This window comes from Homo sapiens, chromosome 1, assembly GCF_000001405.40.
Source record: "Homo sapiens chromosome 1, GRCh38.p14 Primary Assembly".
NCBI classification, from domain to species: Eukaryota; Metazoa; Chordata; class Mammalia; order Primates; family Hominidae; genus Homo; species Homo sapiens.
This window is the reverse complement of record NC_000001.11, coordinates 179,467,349-179,487,762: the sequence shown is the minus strand read 5'-3', so window position 1 is coordinate 179,487,762 and position 20,414 is coordinate 179,467,349. Positions and strand designations below refer to the sequence as shown.

General features: G+C 40.1%; 1 protein-coding gene across 23 annotated transcripts in view; it reads right to left on the bottom strand.

Moving 5' to 3' along the window:
* The window catches only part of AXDND1 (axonemal dynein light chain domain containing 1), a 189,031-nt gene that overhangs the window by 66,973 nt on the left and 101,644 nt on the right, over nucleotides 1-20,414 (bottom strand). For 22 of the 23 annotated variants that reach the window (XR_921742.3, XR_921741.2, NR_073544.2 and 19 more), the window contains 2 exons: nucleotides 19,122-19,320; nucleotides 4,542-4,635 (listed from right to left, as the gene is read on the bottom strand). Coding sequence is in view for 20 of the 23 variants with exons in the window: in XM_011509168.2 (XP_011507470.1) it covers nucleotides 4,542-4,635; nucleotides 19,122-19,320 (293 nt within the window). In the remaining 3 variants the exon portion in view is untranslated. Of the gene's footprint in view, nucleotides 1-4,541; nucleotides 4,636-19,121; nucleotides 19,321-20,414 lie in introns of those variants that run through there. The other variant, XM_047444817.1, reaches the window with a different exon arrangement.

The following is a 20,414-nucleotide window of genomic DNA, read 5'->3' as shown; positions in this document are numbered from 1 at the left end:
TTGGCCTTACAAAGTGTCGAGTTACAGGCATGAGCCATCACGCCTGGCCTGATTGATGGAAATGAAAAGTGAATATTATCATTCTAATGATGTATTTCTTCAATTTGGATTCATGTTTCTTTCTGAGCTATCATTTCAGCAGTGACTGCCATTAAAAATTAGTATTGAAGGAAACTGAATTTAGAAGCAGACCTTCAAATAGCTTTATAATCACAAGTTTAATCTGCAATTTAAACCTGCAATTATAAAAAATCATGAAGCTTTTCAATCAGTTTTTTGAACCATTACCAAAAATCATTTTTAAATATTGTTAATTTCATACATTTGGCTTTCTGTATATGTTTTATAATGTACCAAACATGTCAACTGAGTAATTTTTGCATGCAAATCAGAAATAGTAAGTTAGAAAGGCTTGCTCAAAGACTTTTTGCTAATGGAGGTACATAATAAAAAACGTTTAGTGGCCAGTGTTTTAGACAGCCAAGCAGCACAGGTAAAATGAAGTAAGGAGGCAAAGGAAAAACAATGACAAAAAAACTGGAGATAAGAACATGGATCAGGAGGGAAAATAAATGTCTGTTTTTTCTGAAATTAGAATAGCAACTCTTGTTTTTACAGTTTTCCATTTGCTTGGTAGATTTTTCTCCATCCTTTTACTTGGAGACTTTGGGTGTCACTGCATGTGAGACAGGTCTCTTGAAGACAGCAAACTATTAGGTTTTGTTTCTTTATCCAACTTGCCACTCTGTGCCTTTTAATTGGGGCATTTAGCCCATTTATGTTCAAGGTTAGTATTGATATGTGTGGATTTGATCCTGTCATCATGTTGTTAGCTGGCTACTATGCAGACTTGTTTGGTTGCTTTATAGTAGTCTAAATACCCAAGTGTGTATTTGTCGTGGCTGGTAATGGTCTTTCTTTTCCATATTTAGCACTCTCTTCAGGACCTCCTGTAAGGCACATCTGGTCACAAAAAATTCCCTCAGCATTTGTTTGTCTAAAAAGGATCTCATTTCTCCTTTGCTTATGAAGCTCAGTTTGGCTAGATATGAAGTTCTTGTTTGGAATTTCTTTTCTAAGAATGCTGAACATAAGCCCACAATTTCTTTTGGCTTGTAGGATTTCTGCTGACATGTCTGCTGTTAGCCTTATGGAGTTTGCTTTGCAGGTGACCTGCCCCTTCTCTCTACCTGCCTTTAACATTTTTTCTTTCATTTCAACCTTGGAGAATCTGATGACTATGTGTCTCATGTATGGTCTTATTTTGTAGTATTTTTCAGGGGCTCTCTGCATTTCCTGAATTTGAATGTTGGCCCCTTTAGTGAGGTTGTGAAAATTTTCATGGATGATATCCTGAAATATGCTTTCCAAATTGCTTGGTTTCACTCTCTCTCTTTCAGGAATGCCAATGAGTTGTATATTTGATATTTTTACATAATTTCATATTTCTCAGAGGTTTTGTTCATTCATCTTTATTGTTTTTTATTTTTGTCTGACTGAATTATTTCAGAGAACCAGTCTTCAAACTCTGAGATTTTTTTCCTCAGCTTGGTTGATTCTGCTGTTAATACTTGCAATTGCATTATGAAATTCTTGTAGTGTGTTTTTCATTTCTATCAGGTTTTTTTTTTTTTTTTTTTTTTGAGACAGAGTTTTGCTCCTGTTGCCCAGGCTGGAGTGCAATGGCACGATCTTGGCTCACTGCAACCTCCGCCTCCCAAGTTCAAGTGATTCTCCTGCGTCAGCCTCCTGAGTAGCTGGAATTACAGGTGCCCACCACCATGCCTAGCTAATTTTCTGTATTTTTAGTAGAGATGGGGTTTCACTATGTTGGCCAGGCTGGTCTCGAACTCCTGACCTCAGTCGATCCACCCACCTCAGCCTCCCAAAGTGCTGGGATTACAGGCATAAGCCACCGCGCCTGGTGGTTCTTTCTTATAATGGCATTTCATCTATCAGCTCCTGTATCATTTTATTGTAATCCTTAGATTCTTTGGATTGAGTTTCAACTTTCTTGTACGTTGATGATCTTTGTTCCTATACATATTCTGAATTCTATTTCTGTCATGTCAGCCTGGTTAAGAAACATTGCTGGGGAACAGTGTGGTCGTTTGGAGGTGAGAAGACACTCTGGCTTCTTGAGTTGCCAGAGTTCTTGTGCTGGCTCTTTCTAATCTTTGTGAGCTGATGTTCCTTCAGTCTTTGAAGTTGCTGTCCTTAGAATGCATTTTCTTTTGTCTTTCCTCCTCTTTGACATCCTTGGAGGTTTGATTCAGGTATAAGTTGGGTTCAGTCAACCTGCTTCATTTCTGGAAGATTTTAGGGGTCCAAGGCTCAGCTTAGGCCTTCTGGACTGCATGCTCTAACTCTAGGGTCTGGTATCAGGTCCCCAGCTTTGTTATCTGGCCCCTCAAGGTTAGGAACCTACTGTATTGGAAGAGCCAAGGTGTTCCCAGACCACTGGTCACAACACTCCAATGGGTGATGCCAGCCAAAGCAATTCATTAGGTGGTGACAGTGGGATCCGTGCTTGTTTACACATGCCAGGAGCAGCAGCAGTGCAGCAGGGTGCGTGCTCATCAGCTGTGGTGGGGCACTAATGAGGGCAGGGATGTGGACATTTGCAGTGGTGGCAGTGCAGCATGTTGCAGGGGGTAGCCCACCAATGTCCCTGTGCATGTTCACGCATGGGGGCCGAGTGCTGGCAGATGCAGGACTGGTAACCTCTGTGCACATACTCGCACAGGCAGCAGTGGCTGCACAAGGTGGGAGGCAGGTCTGCTGGCATCCATGTGTAGTTTCATGCCAGCAGCACTGTTGGCACAGTGGCGGGGCACTGGCAGGCACAAGGTTAGCAGTCTCTGTACCCATGAACACTCCAATGGCAATGGCAGTGCAGGACAGATTGTGGGGCCACTGGTCTCCTTGCATACCTTTGCATTGGTTATGGGGTGGGGAGTGTGATGCACTCACAGTGGCAGCAGTTGGCATGGTAGGGTGCATGTGCACATGTGCACTGGTGGGGAAGGAGGGGCAAGGTCTGAATACATGCAACCACACTAGCAAAGCAATGTAGGGGGTGGTCATGGGTGAGTGCACACTGGCAAATGGCATGGGGGAGGCTGTGATGGGTAGAGTACATGGGCGGGCTGGTGCTCATTAGTTGGGGGTGCTCTGCTGGAGCTCTCCAATGGTCAGGCATGGTCTGCCAGTACAGGAGCTATGATGCAGGCCCCTGGGAGGCACCTCAGCTGGGCATCCAAGGCTGCACTGCAAACAGGCATGGTCAGGCTGGAGTCCTGGGAGAGTCCACAAGACAGGGGGGTGCTCAGGTGAAACTGGCCCTGTCTTAGGGGCAAGATCACCCTGTATTGTTCAGGTCTGATAGTTCCCCTAAGATTAATGTCTCCTAAAGGAGCAAGGCAGGCCTTGGGGGATAGGCACCCCTGACTGTGCTCCACTATAGATGCTCCTGCACCAAACCCTCCAGGCTCCACACTAGCTGGGAGTACCACCCCTACCACCTCTCTAAGCAGCTCTCTCTGCCAGCTCAAGTGACTGTGGGGGTCCTGGGATATCCTGCTGTCTGAATTCCAGATGCCTACGGCAAGAGTAGGTCACTTCTCGCCTGCTTAGCTCACTTTTTCCCCAAGAGTCACTGGGGACCAGGAAGGAGTCCCAGTGTGTGGTATCCCTGTGCAGGGTTTCCAGCTTCCTCCTCCTTTAGCCCAGCATCTCTATCTTCCCTCTGTCCACCCTCAATGCCTTCCCTCTAAAGATATGCTTGGAGTGCACCAGTCTTTCCAATCTTCTAGTCCCTCAGTGGCAGATGTTTCTCCTGGCTGAATTTAGTCAGCCATCTTGTCTCCTATATCCAACTTTTCTGTTTCTAAATATTAATAAGAGTTAATATGGATACACAGGATACACATAATTCCTCATGGAGTTTACAATCTTGCAAATTTTCTACACAGATTAATTTTAATAATGCAGTGTTAAAATTGAGGTATATAAAGGCACTTTCTAAGTAATCCCACACTATAAAAATTAAATTCTAGAAAATAACAAATTGAGCATATGATTTCATGGAGATAAATCCCTAATGGTAAATCAAGCATTTTTGCCAAAGAAGGGATTAATGTAGCAGCACCATTAGATACCAACAGTGCTGGAATATTCTTCCTAAATTCATTCAACAAACATTTACTGAGTCCCACCATGTGACAAGCACTCTGTTACCCTTTTTCTTATTCATTTTGGTTGTCAGAGGAATTTCTCCCAAGCCTAGGGATTGCCTGAATCCGTACTACCAGCTTTAACATATTTGCTCATTGACTCTTCAATTGCAAAACTTCATTCCAGAGGCAGAAACATTCTGCTTTAAAAAATCCATTGAAAATTATTTGAGAAATTATTATACAAGCTTCTATTTTGCCCTCTCAACCTCCTGCTTCATTTAAATAGGGAGAGCATTATTTTTCCTTGAAGAAATTTGCCAGCCGAGGCAAAATATAACGTCAAAAACCCTTACAAGTACATACGTGGTGCTGAAGTTCAATGTTACCGTTGTTAATTTCATTGCCTATCTTCAAAAGCCATTGTTGAATCATGTTAAATATATACGCTTGGAGTACCCTGAAGGAAAAATCAAGTAAAATAAAAGTGACTGGCTGATTTAAAGGATAAATGTAACTATCAGCTATGAGAAAGAGTTTTATTTGGCTGGGTATTGTAAACTTAGATGTTGACAACTGCTTGAGAACTGAGGAAAGGGGAATCAAAGCCCTGAATTATCTAGTATGATAGTTTACTCACTGACAAAGCTTTCCTAACCCCCAAGTAGGTAGCAAGATGCACTTTGGACAAAGCAGATCTTACGTTCAATATTAGCTCTCTACTGTAAAAACTTACACCCTTTACATTTACTTCCAGGCCAGTACTATGTGAGAAGAATGAATTTTAAAATCCTCTCAATGAATGACTTCCAGCATGATAGTGTGAGGAGCAAGGCTGCCCTTTCCACCACCCACCACCCCCGAAACTGGTAACAATTATTTTTTTAAATACACCACTTAAAGCCTCTAAAAATGGTGCTATGGAGAAGTTCCAAAAACATCTATTCGAGAAAATCTATGAAGATTCAGTAAGAAAGGCAATAATCTATGGTATTTGAACCATGACTGCTCCTTCCTCTCCTTAGCTCAGTGAGGCAGCAACTCCATTTCAGAATGCTGTAGCCAAGAACACAGAGCTCCCTAACCCTCTAGCTCCCAATCAGATGGCTTTCTTCCATGGATTTTTATACTGCCTCCAGCTATCTGGTGTTGAGTCTAGGTACTGGGTAAATGCAGGTAACAAGTAGGGGTTGTCTTTTTCCACCCAGCCCCTATATATATAATAAATACTCTACCCTATGCATAGCATGCTGAGAATCATGGGTCCCTGATTGTCTGGGCTTGTAAGGCAGTGGTTCTACTCCATGAGAGGCAATCCAAGAAGACCTCAGGCTGCTACTTTCCCCTCTAAGGAGTTCTCAGGTCTGACAGTGTGAGTGTCACTCAGAGAGAAGCTTTCCATTGTCTCTACCCCCAGCTCTAGAGCCCTAGCTCAGAGATTTTGCCTGGAGATAGAAGAAGGCAAAAAAAAAAAAAAAAAAAAAAAAAATTAAAAAGCTCCTAATCTTGTCCCAAATAAACTAACTTCATTTGCAACGTAGCCTGAAGATGTTCAAACCTAAGGGTGCTTTAAAGAACAGTGGAGGTTTGGTGAAATGCAATTCAGTGGAGATTCAAGATATAGGTTAAACTGTAGGCTAACTAGTTTGCAGGAAACAACCAGGCACTAAGACAACTAGAAGAAGGCCACTTGAGTTCAGAACAAGATCAAACACTGATCTCAGGAATTATTCTTTCCAAGGAGCCAAAACTACATGAAAGTAGTTTTAGCACAATATATGCCCCAGAGAATTATTGAAAACAATAGATAATTTATGCAGCCAACAGACACATGAAAAAATGCTCATCATCACTGGCCATCAGAGAAATGCAAATTAAAACCACAATGAGATACCACCTCACACCAGTTAGAATGGCGATCATTAAAAAGTCAGCAAACAACAGGTGCTGGAGAGGATGTGGGGAAATAGGAACACTTTTACACTGTTGGTGGGACTGTAAACTGGTTCAACCATTGTGGAAAAGAGTGTGGTGATTCCTCAGGGATCCAGAACTAGAAATACCATTTGACCCAGCCATCCCATTACTGGGTATATACCCAAAGGATTATTAAATCATGCTGCTATAAAGACACATGCACACGTATGTTCACTGCGGCACTATTCACAATAGCAAAGACTTGGAACCAACCCAAATGTCCAACAATGATAGACTGGATTAAGAAAATGTGGCACATATACACCATGGAATACTATGCAGCCGTAAAAAATGATGAGTTCACGTCCTTTGTAGGGACATGGATGAAGCTGGAAACCATCATTCTCAGCAAACTATCGCAAGGACAAAAAACCAAACATCGCATGTTCTCACTCATAGGTGGGAATTGAACAATGAGAACACTTGGACACAGGAAGGGGAACATCACACACCAGGGCCTGTTGTGGGGTGGGGAAAGTGGGGAGGGACAGCATTAGGAGATATACCTAATATAAATGATGAGTTAATGGGTGCAGCACACCAACATGGCACATGTATACATATGTAACAAACCTGCACGTTGTGCACATGTACCCTAGAACTTAAAGTATAATTAAAAAAATATATAAAATAAAAAAATAAAAATGAATACATTTTATTTTAAATAAAAATAAATAAATAAATAAAAGCAAAAACAAACAAACAAAAAAGAAAACAATAGACCAATCAACTAGAAATTAGTGAAGTTTAACAGCTTGGTGTGGTCAAAGAAAAAGAAGCAAGCCTTGACAAAACACCACTGTCACTGCAGGGTGACAGTGGGCATACCCAAAAACTGCACCTTCTTGAGAGCAAGATCAGAGTCTTAATACAAGGAAGAGGGGGGTAGCAACCAAAGTTGCTACAGTATATTATCTAATATGTCCAGTATCCAAAAACCAAAAACAACAACAACAAAAAGAAACCTTACAAGGCATGATAAGAAACAAGAAAGTGTGACATATACACCAGGTAGGCAACAGAAACTGCCTGTGAGAGTGACCAGAACTCTGGTTTTTCAAAAACTTCAAAGTAGCTGATAAGGTTTGGCTATATCCCCACCCAAATCTCATCTTGAATTGTAGCTCCCATAATTCCCTCATGTTGTGGGAGGGACCCAGTGGGAGATAACTGAATCATGGGGGCGGTCTCCCCCATACTGTTCTCGTGGTAGTGAATAAGTCTAATGAGATCTGATGATTTTATAAGGGGAACCCCTTTCACTTGGCTCTCATTCTCTTCTCTTGTCTGCTGCCATGTGAGATGTGCCTTTCACCTTCCACCAGGATTATGAGGCCTCCCCAGCCATGTGGAACTCTGAGTCAATTAAACCCCTTTTCCTTTGTAAATTACCCAGTCTCAGGTATGTCTTTATCAGCAGCATGAGAATGGACTAACACAGTAAATCGGTACCTGGAGTGGGGAGCTACTGTAAATATACCCAAAAATGTGGGAGCGACCTTGGAACTGGGTAACAGGCAGAGGTTGGAACAGTTTGAAGGGCTCAGAAGAAGACAGGAAAATGTGGAACAATTTAGAACTTCCTAGACACTTGTTGAATGGCTTTGACCAAAATGCTGATAATGATATGGACAATGGAATCCAGGCTGAGGTGGTTACAGATGGAGATGAGGAACTTCTTGGGAACCGGAGCAAAGAAGACTCTTGTTATATTTAAGCAAAGAGACTGGCAGCATTTTGCCCCTGTCTTAGAGATTTGTGGAACTATGAGCTTGAGAGAGATTATTTAGAATATCTGGTGGAAGAAATTTCTTTCTTTCTTTCTTTCTTTTTTGAGATGGAGTCTCACTCCGTCGCCCAGGCTAAAGTGCAGTGGTGCGATCTCGGCTCACCGCAAGCACTGCCTCCCAGGTTCACGCCATTCTCCTGCCTCAGCCTCCCAAGTAGCTGGGATTACAGGCACCCACCACCATGCCCAGCTAATTTTTTGTATTTTTAGTGGAGACAGGGTTTCACCATGTTAGAGAGGATGGTCTCAATCTCCTGACCTCGTGATCCGCCCACCTCAGCCTCCCAAAGTGCTAGGATTACAGGCATGAGCCACCACACCCAGCCTTTTTCCTTTTTTTTTTTTTGAGACAGAGTTTCGCTCTTGTTGCTCAGACTGGAGTGCAATGGCATAGTCTCAGCTCACCACAATCTCCGCCTCCTGAGTTCAAGAGATTCTCCTGCCTCAGCCTCCCAAGTAGCTGGGATTACAGGCATGTGCCACCATGCCCAGCTAATTTTGTATTTTAGTAGAGACAGGGCTTCTCCATGTTGGTCAGGCTGGCCTCGAACTCCTGACTTCAAGTGATCCACCCGCCTTGGCCTCCCAAAGTGCTGGGATTACAGGCATGAGCCACTGCACCCGGCCAGTGGAAGAAATTTCTAAGAATCACAGCATTCAAGGGGTGACTTGGGTGCTGTTAAAGGTATTCAGTTTTATTTATTTTATTATTATTTTTTTGAGACAGAGTCTCTCTCTGTCTCACCCAGGCTGCAGTGCAGTGGTTTGATCTTGGCTCACTGCAGCCTCTACCTCCCAGGTTCAAGCGATTCTCCTGTCTTGGCCTCCTGAGTAGCTGGGACTACAGGCATGTGCCACCACACCCAGCTAATTTTGCATTTTTAGTAGAGATTGAGTTTCACCATGTTGGCCAGAGCTGGTCTCGAGCTCCTGACCTCAAGTGATCCACCTGCCTCAGCCTCCCAACATGCTGGGATTACAGGCATGAGTCACCATACCCAGCCAGGTATTCAGTTTTAAAAGGGAAACAGAGCATAAAAGTTCAGAAAATTTGCAGCCTGACAATGCAATAGAGACAAATATCCCATTTTTTAAGAGAAATTGAAGACAGCTGCAGAAATCTGCATAAGTAATGAGGAGCCAAATGTTAATGCCCAAGACAATGGGGAAAATGTCTCCAGGTCATGTCAGAGACGTTTGGGGCAGCCTCTCCTATCACAGGCCTGAAGGCTTAGGAGGAAAAAATGGCTTCATGGGCCAGGCCCAGGGTCCCTCTGCTGTGCCCTGCATCCCAGCTGCTCCAGCCATGACTAAAAGGGTCCAAGATACAGCTGGGGCCATGGCTTCAGAAAGTGCAAGCCACAAGCCATGGCAGCATCCACATGGTATTGAGCCTGCAGATGCACAGAAGCCAAAAATCAAGGTTTGGGAACCTTTGCCTAGATTTCAAGGATGTATGGAAATGACTGGATGTCCAGGCAGAAGTTTGCTGCAGGAGTGGGGTGCTAATGGAGAACGTCTGCTAGGGCAGTGCAGAAGGGAAATGTGAGGTGGGCACCCCCACACAGAGTCCCCACTGGTGTGCTGCCTAGTGGAGCTGTGAGAAAACGGCCACTGTCCTCCAGACCCCAGAATGGTAGATCCACCAACAGCATGCACCGTGTGCCTGGAAAACACGTAGACACTCAACCCCAGCCCATGAAAGCAGCCAGGAGGGAGCCTGTGCCCCACAAAGCCACAGAGGCAGAACTGCCCAAGACCATGAGAACCCACCTCTTGAATGAGCATGACCCAGATGTGAGACATGGAGTCAAAGGAGATCATTATGAAGCTGTAAGATTTGTCTGCCCTGCCGGATTTTGAATTTGCATGGAGCCAGTAGCCCTTTTGTTTTGGCCAATTTCTCCCATTTGGAATGCCTGTACTTACCCAATGTCTGTAGCCCCTTTGTATCTAGGAAGTAACTAACTTGCTTTTGATTTTACAGGCTTACAGGTGGAAGAAACTTGCCTTGTCTTGGATGAGACTTTGGACTGTGGACTTTTGAGTTAATGCTGAAATGAGTTAAGACTTCTGGGGACTGTTTGGAAGGCATGATTGGTTTTGAAATGTGAGGACATGAGATTTGGGAGGGGCCAGGGGCAAAATGATATGGTTTGGCTGTGTCCCCACCCAAATCTTATCTTAAATTGTAGCTCCCAAAATTCCCTCATGTTGTGGCAGGAACCCAGTGGGAGATAATTGAATCATGGGGGTGGTTTCCCCCACACTGTTCTCATGGTAGTGAATAAGTCTCATGAGATCTGATGGTTTCATAAGGGGAAATCCCTTTCACTTGGCTCTCATTCTCTTCTCTTGTCTGCTGCCATATGAGATGGGCCTCTCACCTTCCACCATGATTTTTTGTGAGGCCTCCCCAGCCACGTGGAACTGTGAGACCATTGAAACTCTTTCTTTTGTAAATTGCCCAGTCTTGGGTATGTCTTTATCAACAGTGTGAAAATGAACTAACACATGTTAGTTCATGTTCACAGAACTAAAGAAATCCATGACTAGATAAACAAAGGAAGGTATTATAACAATGTTGCAGCAAATAAGAGAATAGAAATTAAAAATATAAATTGGAAAAAAGAAATAAATGAAAATTTTAGAGTGAAAAAGAACAATAACTGAAAAAAATTTAAAATCACTACTAGGGCTCAACAGTAAATTTGAACTGGCAGAAGAGAGAAGAATTGAACTTGAAGATAAATATATGGAAGTAATTCAAGCCAAAAAATAAAGAGGAAAAAGAATGAAGCGACATGAAAACAGCCTTGAAGAAATATGGGACACCCTTACATATAAAGGGAGTATTGGAAGTAGAGAAAAGAAAAAGGTACATAAAGATATTCAAAGAAACAGGATCTGAAACTTTCCAAATTTATTGAAAAACAATAACACATTCAAGAAGCTTAACAATCTCCATGTAAGATAAATACAAAGAGGTCTACAAACTTATATATGAGAGTCAAAATGCTAGAAGTCAAAATAACGAGAAAATCTTGAAAGTGGCAAGAGAAAAACAACACATCACTTACAAGGGAGTCCCAATAAGATTAACAGCTGACTTCTCAAAATAAACAATAGGTGCCAAAAAGCAGTGGGATAACATATTCATAGTGCCTAAAGAAGAAAAAAATGTCAACCAAGAATCCTATATCCAACAAACATGTGTTCCAAAAATGAAGGTGGAATAAAGACTGCCCCAGATTTAAAAAAAAAACCGAAGAATTTGTTGCTAGTAGACTTTCCTTACAATAAATCCTAGAGGAAATTTTTCAGGCTGAAAGCAATGACCACAGATGGTAATTAGAATCTACACAAAAAACAAGGCATTATAAACAAAATTATGCAATTTTAAAAGACAGAATGTATGCATATTTTCTATTTCTTAACTGACTAAAGAAGAAATTGTATAAAATAACATAGGACATATTGTTGGACCTACAACATAAAAATGTAATATATGTGTAATATATATGCCAAAACAGCACACAAGAGGTGGATGGGAGCAAACTCTAATGGGTGATAGAAATGATGACAGATGGTAAATTTATAATTATAACAATGTATTTTTGTGTTTGTAATATTGTATTACACCAATTCTACAATGCTATAAAGAAATACCCAAGACTGGGTAATTTTTAAACAAAAGAGGTTTAATCAACTCACAGTTCCACATGGCTGGGGAAGCCTCAAGCAGCTTATAATCATGGCGTAAGGGGAAGGAAAAGCAAGTACCTCTTCACAAGGCAGCAGGAAAAAGAGAAGTGCAAGCAGGGGAAATGCCAAATGCTTATAAAACCATCATATTGCATAAGAACTCACTATCATGAGAACAGCAGGGTGAAACAGCCCCCATGATCCAATCACCTCCTTCCCTTGACATGTGAGAATTACAGGTCCCTCCCTTAACACATGAGGATTACAATTCAAGATGAGATTTGGGTAGGGAAACAGAGCCAAAGCATATTATTCTGCCCCTGGCCCTTTCCAAATCTCATATAATTTCACATGTCAAAACCAATTATGCCTTCCCAACAGTCCCCCAAAGTCTAAACTCATTTCAGCATTTATTCAAAAGTCCACAGTGCAACATCTCATCTGAGCAAGGCAAGTCCCTTCTGTCTATGAGCCTGTAAAATAAAAAAAACAGTTAATTCCTTCCAAGATACAATGCAGGTAGAGGCATTGGATAAATGCTCTCATTTCAAATGGGAGAAATTGACCAAAACCAAGGGGCTACAGGCCCCATGCAAGTCTGAAATCCAGTAGGCCAGTCATTAAATCTTAAAGCTTCTAAATAATCTCTTTTGATTCCACATCTCACATCCAGGTCATGCTAATGCAAGAGGTGCATTCCCATAGGCCTGGGCAGCTCCAATCCTGTGGCTTTGCAGGGTGCAGCTCCCACCTGGCTGCTTTCATGGTCTGGTGTTGAATGTCTGTGGCTTTTCCAAGTGCACAGTGCAAGGTGTTGATGCATCTACTATTCTGAGGTCTGGAGGACAGTGGCCCTCTTCTCACAGCTCCACTAGGCAGTGCTCCAGTAGGGACTCTGTGTGGGGGCTCCAAATACATTTCCCTTTCGTACTGCCCTAGCAGAGGTTCTCCATGAGGGCTATACCTCTGCAGCAGACCTCTGCCTGGACATCCAAGCACTTCCATACATCCTCTGAAATCTAGGTGAAGGTTCCCAAACCTCAATTCTTGACTTCTGTGCACCCACAGGCCCAAGACCACCTTTTGAAGCAATGGCCCAAGCTGTACCTTGGCCCTTTTTAGCCACAGCTGGAGCTGAAGTGGCTGGGACACAGGACGCCATGTCCCAAGGCTTCACAGAGCAGTGGGGGCCCTGGGCCTGACCCAAGAAACCATTTTTACCTCCTAGGCCTCCAGGCCTGTGATAAGAGGGGTTGGTCTGAGGATCGCTGACTTGCTCTGGAGATATTTTCCCCATTGACTTGGCTATGAACACTCAGTTTCTCATTACTTACACAAATTTCTGCAGCTGTCTTTATTTCCTCCCCAGAAAACGGGTTTTTCTTTTCTACCTCATGGTCAGGCTGCAAATTTTCCAAACTTTTATGCTCTGCTTCCTCTTGAATGCTTTGCCACTTAGAAATTTCTTCCACCAGATACCCTAAATCATCTCTCTCTAGTTCAAAGTTCCTCAGATTTCTAGGGCAGAGTCAAAATGCCACCAGTCTCTTTACTAAAGCATAGCAAGGGTGACTTTTATTCCAGTTCCCAGTAAGTTCCTCATCTCCATCAGAGACTACCTCAGCCTGGACTTCATTGTCCACATCACTATCAGCATTTTGGTCAAAACCATTCAACAAGTCTCTAGGAAGTTCCAAACTTTCCCACATCTTTCTGTCTTCCTCTGAGCCCTCCAAACTATTCCAACCTCTGCCCATTATCCAGTTCCAATGTGGCTTACATATTTTCAGGCTAACTTTATAGCAGTACCCCAATTCCAGTACCAATTTCCTATATTACTCCATTCTCACACTGCTATAAAAAAACTACCCAAGACTAGGTAAGTTTTTTTTTTTTTTTTGAGGTGGAGTCTTGCTCTGTCACCCAGGCTGGAGTGTGAACTCGGCTCATTGCAACCACTACCTTCCAGGTTCAAGCAATTCTCCTGCCTCAGCCTCCCAAGTAGCTGGGATTACAGGCACCCACCACCACGCCCGACTAATTTTTGTATTTTTAGTAGAGACGGGGGTTTCACCATGTTGGCCAGGGTGGTGTCAAACGCCTGACCTCAGGTGATCCGCCCACGTTGGCCTCCCAAAATGTTAGGATTACAGGTGTGAGCCACCACACCCAGCCAAGACTAGGTAACTTATAAACAAATGAGGTTTAATTTGATTCACAGCTCCACATGGCTGAGGAGGCCTCAGGAAACTTACAAAACTTACAATCATGGCAGAAGGGGAGAAAGAAGCAAGTTCCTTCTTCACAAGGTGGCAGGAAAGATAGAGGTGCAGGCAGGGGAAATGCCAGATGCTTATAAAACCATCAGATCTCATGAGAACAGCGTGGGGGTAACTGCTCTCATGATCTAATCACCTTCCTCCATTGACATGTGGGGATTGCAATTCAAGATGAGATTTGGGTGGGGACACAGAGCCAAACCATATCAAATATTAAGAGATGTAATGTGCATAAAATTATACCACAAAAGGTGGGAAAAGGAATCAAACTAGATAGAAGTATATCTATATGTCACTAGAATTAAGCCAGTATAAATCTGAAGCTAATTCTTTTTTTTTGAGACAGAGTTTCACTGCTGTTGCTCAGGCTGGAGTGCAATGGCGCGATCTCGGCTCACTGCAAACTCCACCTCTTGGATTCAAGCAATTCTCCTGCCTCAGCCTCCCAAGTAGCTGGGATTACAGGCACCCACCACCACACCCAGCTAATTTTTATATTTTTAGTAGAGACAGGGTTTCACCATGTTGGCCAGGCTGGTCTTGAACTCCTGACCTCAGGTGATCCACCCCCATCTTGGCCTCCCAAAGTGCTGGGATTACAGGCATGACCTGAAGCTAATTCTGTTAAATTAAGGAGGTTATGGTAAAATCTAGAGAAGCCATTTAAAAAACTTTTTAAATGTAGAGAAAAGTCAGTACAGAAATGAATTCTACATTAGAAAGTATTCATTCAATACAAAAAAAACAATAAAAGAAAAACAGAGAAACAAAAAAGTCATGAAACAAAACAAGCAGTAAGATGGCAGAGGTAAATCCAACCATGTCAATAATATCTTTAAAGGTAAATGGATTTAACAATCCAATTAAAAGGCAGAGATTGTCAGACTGGATTAAAAACATGAATCAACTATATGGTCTCTATAGAAGACACACTTGAGATTCAAAGATACAAATACATTAAAAGCAAAAGGTATATAACAGTATAAAAGGAAAAGATATGTAACAGTAACCACAATAAAGCTGGTGTGGCTGTACTGATAGCAGATAAAATAGATTTTAAAATTTAAAAAGTTACTAAAAATAAGGAAGGATATTTTATAATTATAAAAGGATCACTCCATCAGGAAGATATAACAATTATAAACGTGTGCACCTAATAACAAAGTACCAAAAATACATGAAGCAAACATCAAGAGAAAGGAAGGGAAAAACAGACAATTTAAGAATAACAGTTGGAGACTTCAACATCCCACTATCAATAATGGTTAGAACCACTACACAGATGATAAATAAGGAAACAGAAGATTTTAACAATACTACAAACCAACTAGACCAGACATCTCTAGAACACTTTCTCCAATAAAAATGAAATATACATTCTTCTCAAGTGTACATGGAAAATTCTCCAGGATAGACAAGATGCTAGGCTGTAAAACAAACCTCTATAATTTTAATGCTAGAATAATATAAAATATATACTCACACTACAATGGAATGAAATTACAAATCTGAAACTGGAAAAAAATGGGAAACTCACAAATATGTGGACATTAAATAACATACTCCTAAATAACAATGGGTCAATGAATAAATCACAAGAGAAATCATAAAAATACTTTGAGATTAATGAAAATGAAGACATAGTCCGGGCGCAGTGGCTCACGCCTGTAATCCCAACACTTTGGGAGGTCAAGGTGGGTGGATCACAAGGTCAGGAATTCGAGACTAGCCTGGCCAAAATGGTGAAACCCTGTCTCTACTAAAAATACAAAAAAATTAGCCAGGCGTGGTGGCACATGCCGGTAATCCCAGCTACTCGGGAGGCTGAGGCAGGAGAATTGCTTGAATCTGGGAGGCGGAGGTTGCAGTGAGCTGAGGTCATGCCACTGCACTCCAGTCTGGGTGGCAGAGCGAGACTCCATCTCAAAAAAAAAAGAAAAAAAAAGAAAATGAAGACACAACATATTGAGCAGTCCTTAGAGGGAAATTTATAGCTGTAAAACCTGTGTTAAGAAAGAAGAAAAATCTCAAATCAATAAACTAACAGCTCAACTTAAGACTATGGAAAAGGTAGAGTAAACTAAATGTAAAGAAAGTGAAAGGAAGGAAATAATAATGACTACAGCAGAAATTAATACAATAGAGAATAGAAAAACACTAAAGGAAATCAATGAAATCAAAAGATGGTTATTTGAAAAGATCAACAATATTAACAAACATTTAGCTAAGTTGACCAGGAGAAATAGAGAAGGCTCAAATTATTAGAATTGGAAACGAGAGAAGGGATGCTAGCACTGATCTTCTTTCAGAAATAAAAAGGATTATAAGGGAATACAATGAACAATTTTGCCAACAAATCAGATAACTTGGATGAAATTGTCAAATTTCTAGAAAGACACACACAAAAAACTGATTCAATAAGAAATAGACAATATAAATAGACTTTTAACAAGTGAAGAGATTGAATCAATTCTCAAAAACCTACCCACAGATGGCTGCACCACTGAATCCTCCCAAAGAGCCAAAGATGAATCAACACCAATTCTTCACAATATCTTCCAAAAGATAAAGATGGAGGGATACTTCTAACTCATTTCATGAAGCCAGTATTACATTGATATAACACCAGGCGAAGACATCACAGGAAAATAAAATAGACCAATGTCTCTTATGAATACCAATGCAAAGACTAGCAAACAGAATCCTGAACTGATCAAAAGTATTTTACACAATTACCATGTGGGATTTATCCTATGCAAGCAAAGTTAATTTAATATCCAAAAAGACAATGAATGTAATACATCATATGAACATGAAAAAAATAATCACATGATCATCTCACTAGATACAGAAAAAGCATTTGTCAAAATCCAACAACTTTTTTATGTAAAAGCATGCAACAAATTAGGAATAGAAGAAAACTTCCTAAATCCAATAAAAGGCATCTAGGAAACACCCACAAATAACATTATACTTAATAGTGAAAGACTGGATGCATTTCCCATAAGAATAGGAACAACATCTTCCATTCAACATTGTACTGAGGTTCTAGCCAAAGCAATTAGGCAAGAGAAGGAAATCAAAGGCATCTAGATTAAAAAGAAACTACTTGTATTTATAGGTATGATCTTTTGTATAGAAAATACTAAGAAATCCTTTAAAAAATTATTGCAACTAATAAATGAATTCAGTAAGGTTTTGGGATGTAAGATCAATATTTTAAAAATCAGTTGTGTTCCTATACATATGCAATAAACAATCTGAAATAAAGTTTTAAAAATCTTATTTGCAATAACATTTAAAAAGTACTTAGGAGTAAATATAACAAAAGAAGTGTACAGCTTATACTCAGAAGAAATTAAAGAAGATCCAAATAATTGGAAAAACATCCCATGTTCATGTAGAAGACTTAACATGTTTAAGATAGCAATATTCCCATTCTGATGTACAGATCCAACAAATTCTTTTTCAGAATCCTAGTTAATGTCTTTGTAAAAATTGACAAGCTTATTCTAAAATTTATACGGAATTGCAAGGTACCCAGAAAAGCCAAAATAATCCTGTAAAAGAAGAGTCAAGTAGAAAGACTCACATTTCCCATTCCTTTTCAAAACATTCTACAAAGCAAGAATAAGCAAGACAGTGTGTTACTGACACAAGGGTGGACATATAGATCAATGTGATAGAATTAATCATTCAGAAATAAATCCATGACTGATTTTCATCAAAATTGTCAATACCATTAAGTGGAGAAAGAATAGTCTTCAACAAATGGTGCTGGTACAACTAAACATCCACATGCAAAAGAATGAAATTGGACCCTTACCACATACCATATACAAAAATTAACTAAAATGGATCAGAGACCTTAATGTAAGAGAGCAAATGCTACAAAACTCTTACAAAAAAACATAGGGGTAAATTTTCATGACCTTGGATTTGGCAAAGAATTCTTAGCTATGACACCAGCACAAGCAACAACAACAACAGCACAGAAAAAATTTCCCTCAAAGAAAATACACAAATAGCCAATAAGCATGTGAAACAATTCTTCACATCATTTGTCATTAGGGAAATGTGAATCAAAACTACAATAAAATAACACTTCAGTCCCTCTATTATAGCTAGAATCAAAAGTCAGATAATAAGTATTGGCAAGTATGTGGAGAAATCAGAACCCACATGCACTGCTGATGTGAATGTAAAATTGTGTAGGTTTTCCAAAAACACCTTGGAAAACAGTCTGGCAGTTCCTCAAATTATTAAAAATAGAATTGCCATATGATCCAGCAATTCCACTCCTTAGGTGATATATACCCAAAGAGAAATGAAAACAAATGTTTGTCCACAAAAAGCATGCACATGAATGTTTATTGAAACATTACTCATTAAGGCCAAAAGATGGAAACAATCCAAGTGTCTATCAATGGACAAATGAATAAATAAAATGTGGTATATCCATAAGTAGAATATGATTCAGTCATAAAAATGAACTACTGAAATATGCCACAACATGGATGAACCTTGAAAAAATTATGCTAAGTCAAAGAAGTTAGACACAAAGACCACACAGTACAATGATTCCTTTCAAATAAAATGTCCACAACAGGCCAGGTGTGGTGGCTCACACCTGTAATCTAAGCACTTTGGAAGGCCAAGGTGGGCGTATCACCTGAGGTCAGGAGTTCGAGACCAGCCTAGCCAACATGGTGAAACCCCGTCTCTACTAAAAATACAAAAATTAGCTGGGCATGGTGGCAGGCGCCTGTAGTCCCAGCTACTCAGGAGGCTAAGGTAAGAGAATCACTTGAACCCGGGAGGTAGAGGTTGCAGTGAGCCAAGATCTCGCCATTGCACTCCAGCCTGGGAAATAAGAGCAAGACTTCGCCTCAAAAAAAAAAAAAATTGTTCATAACAATACAATCAACAAAGACAAAGTAGATTTGTGGTTGCTTAGGGCTGGGGGTAGGACGGTAGGAGAGGATGAAGGATTGCAGAATGATAGCTAAAGTGCATAAGGCTTCTTTTTGAGGTGATGAAATATTCTAAAATTGACCGGTAATGGTTACTTATATCTATAAATATACTGAACACCACAGAATTGTACACTTTGAAAAAGTGAATTATATATGAAGTGTATTGCAACAAACCTTTAGGAAAATTATCTCAGAACAAAAGAAACCTATGGGAACTTACGAAACAGAATCCACATCTATGTGCTGTGGAACAATACCAGTAAGGTTTAACAATATATCCAAGTGTGATTTCATTTCATTAATTTTTTCATCTATTTCCTGCCATTCTTCAAGAGGCGTATCAGGAAACTCCAGGTTTTCCAACTTGAAAGAACAGAAGTCAAGAGAACTAATCAAACTTGGAAGAATTTTGGAGTAACCTAGAAAAGTAAGAAAAGCATTAACTTTTAGAAATATTTGTAAGACTACTATTTTAATACCAAATTATAAAATCCTACTGAGCAAGGGCATTATCTTTTAAAAATCTTTTATTATCCTACAGCTTGACTAGCAGAGAACCTTACAAAAAGCAGTTCCTAAATAAATGTTTAATGAATAAGCACTGTGTAATTGGTGCTTTAATGACTAACAAATTATTTTTTCAATGACAGTTTATATCCTACATTTCTTGTCTTTTCAGCTGAGAATCAAATGCATTAAACCCAGAAACTATCAACTATAGTTTTCTGTAAAAGACCTTAATTCACTACATCATTCTTTTAAGAGGACAATGATAATAATCAGCTTCTTCATGATTATGGGATAGTGAATAACAAATTAAAATAGATTATCATAGTTCTTGAGTCATTTTTTAGGTTATTGATCAGGGTTTCATAAAGTTTATAGCTTTTAGTCTGAACAAAACTTGAGTGTGGATCCTAATGTGGGTCCAGTGGACTGATTCACTATGAGATTATGGCAAAATACCCTCTTTTTCTTATTTATTTGCAAAATACAAAATGAAAACATTCCCATCTCAAAGTTATATAAAGACAAGTAATTTAAAAGGAAACTTTTTCTTGTCTTGGATGAAAATATTTTCACTGCCTTCCTTCATCAGTAAATTTTGATCTTTTAGGAATATTCAAAATGATCTGCTAATTTCACCACCATTCATAATTTTGACTTCTTCTTTTATTTTAAACCATTTGCTACCTCATTTTTCTCTGCCCACTGTACACAGTCATCCCTCAGTATCTACAGAGGATTGGTTTCAGGACCCCCATGGATACCAAAATCCATGGATTCTCAAGTCCCTTACAGAAAATGATGTGGTATTTGCATATAACCTATGCACATCCTCTTGTATACATTAAATCATCTCTAGATTACTTATATAACCTAATACAATGCAGATGTTATGTGATATTTATTATACTATATTGTGTTTTTATTTGTACTTTTTAATTTTTTTTAAGTATTTTTGATCCACGGTTGCTTGAATCTGATGATGCAGAACCCGCAGATCCAGAGG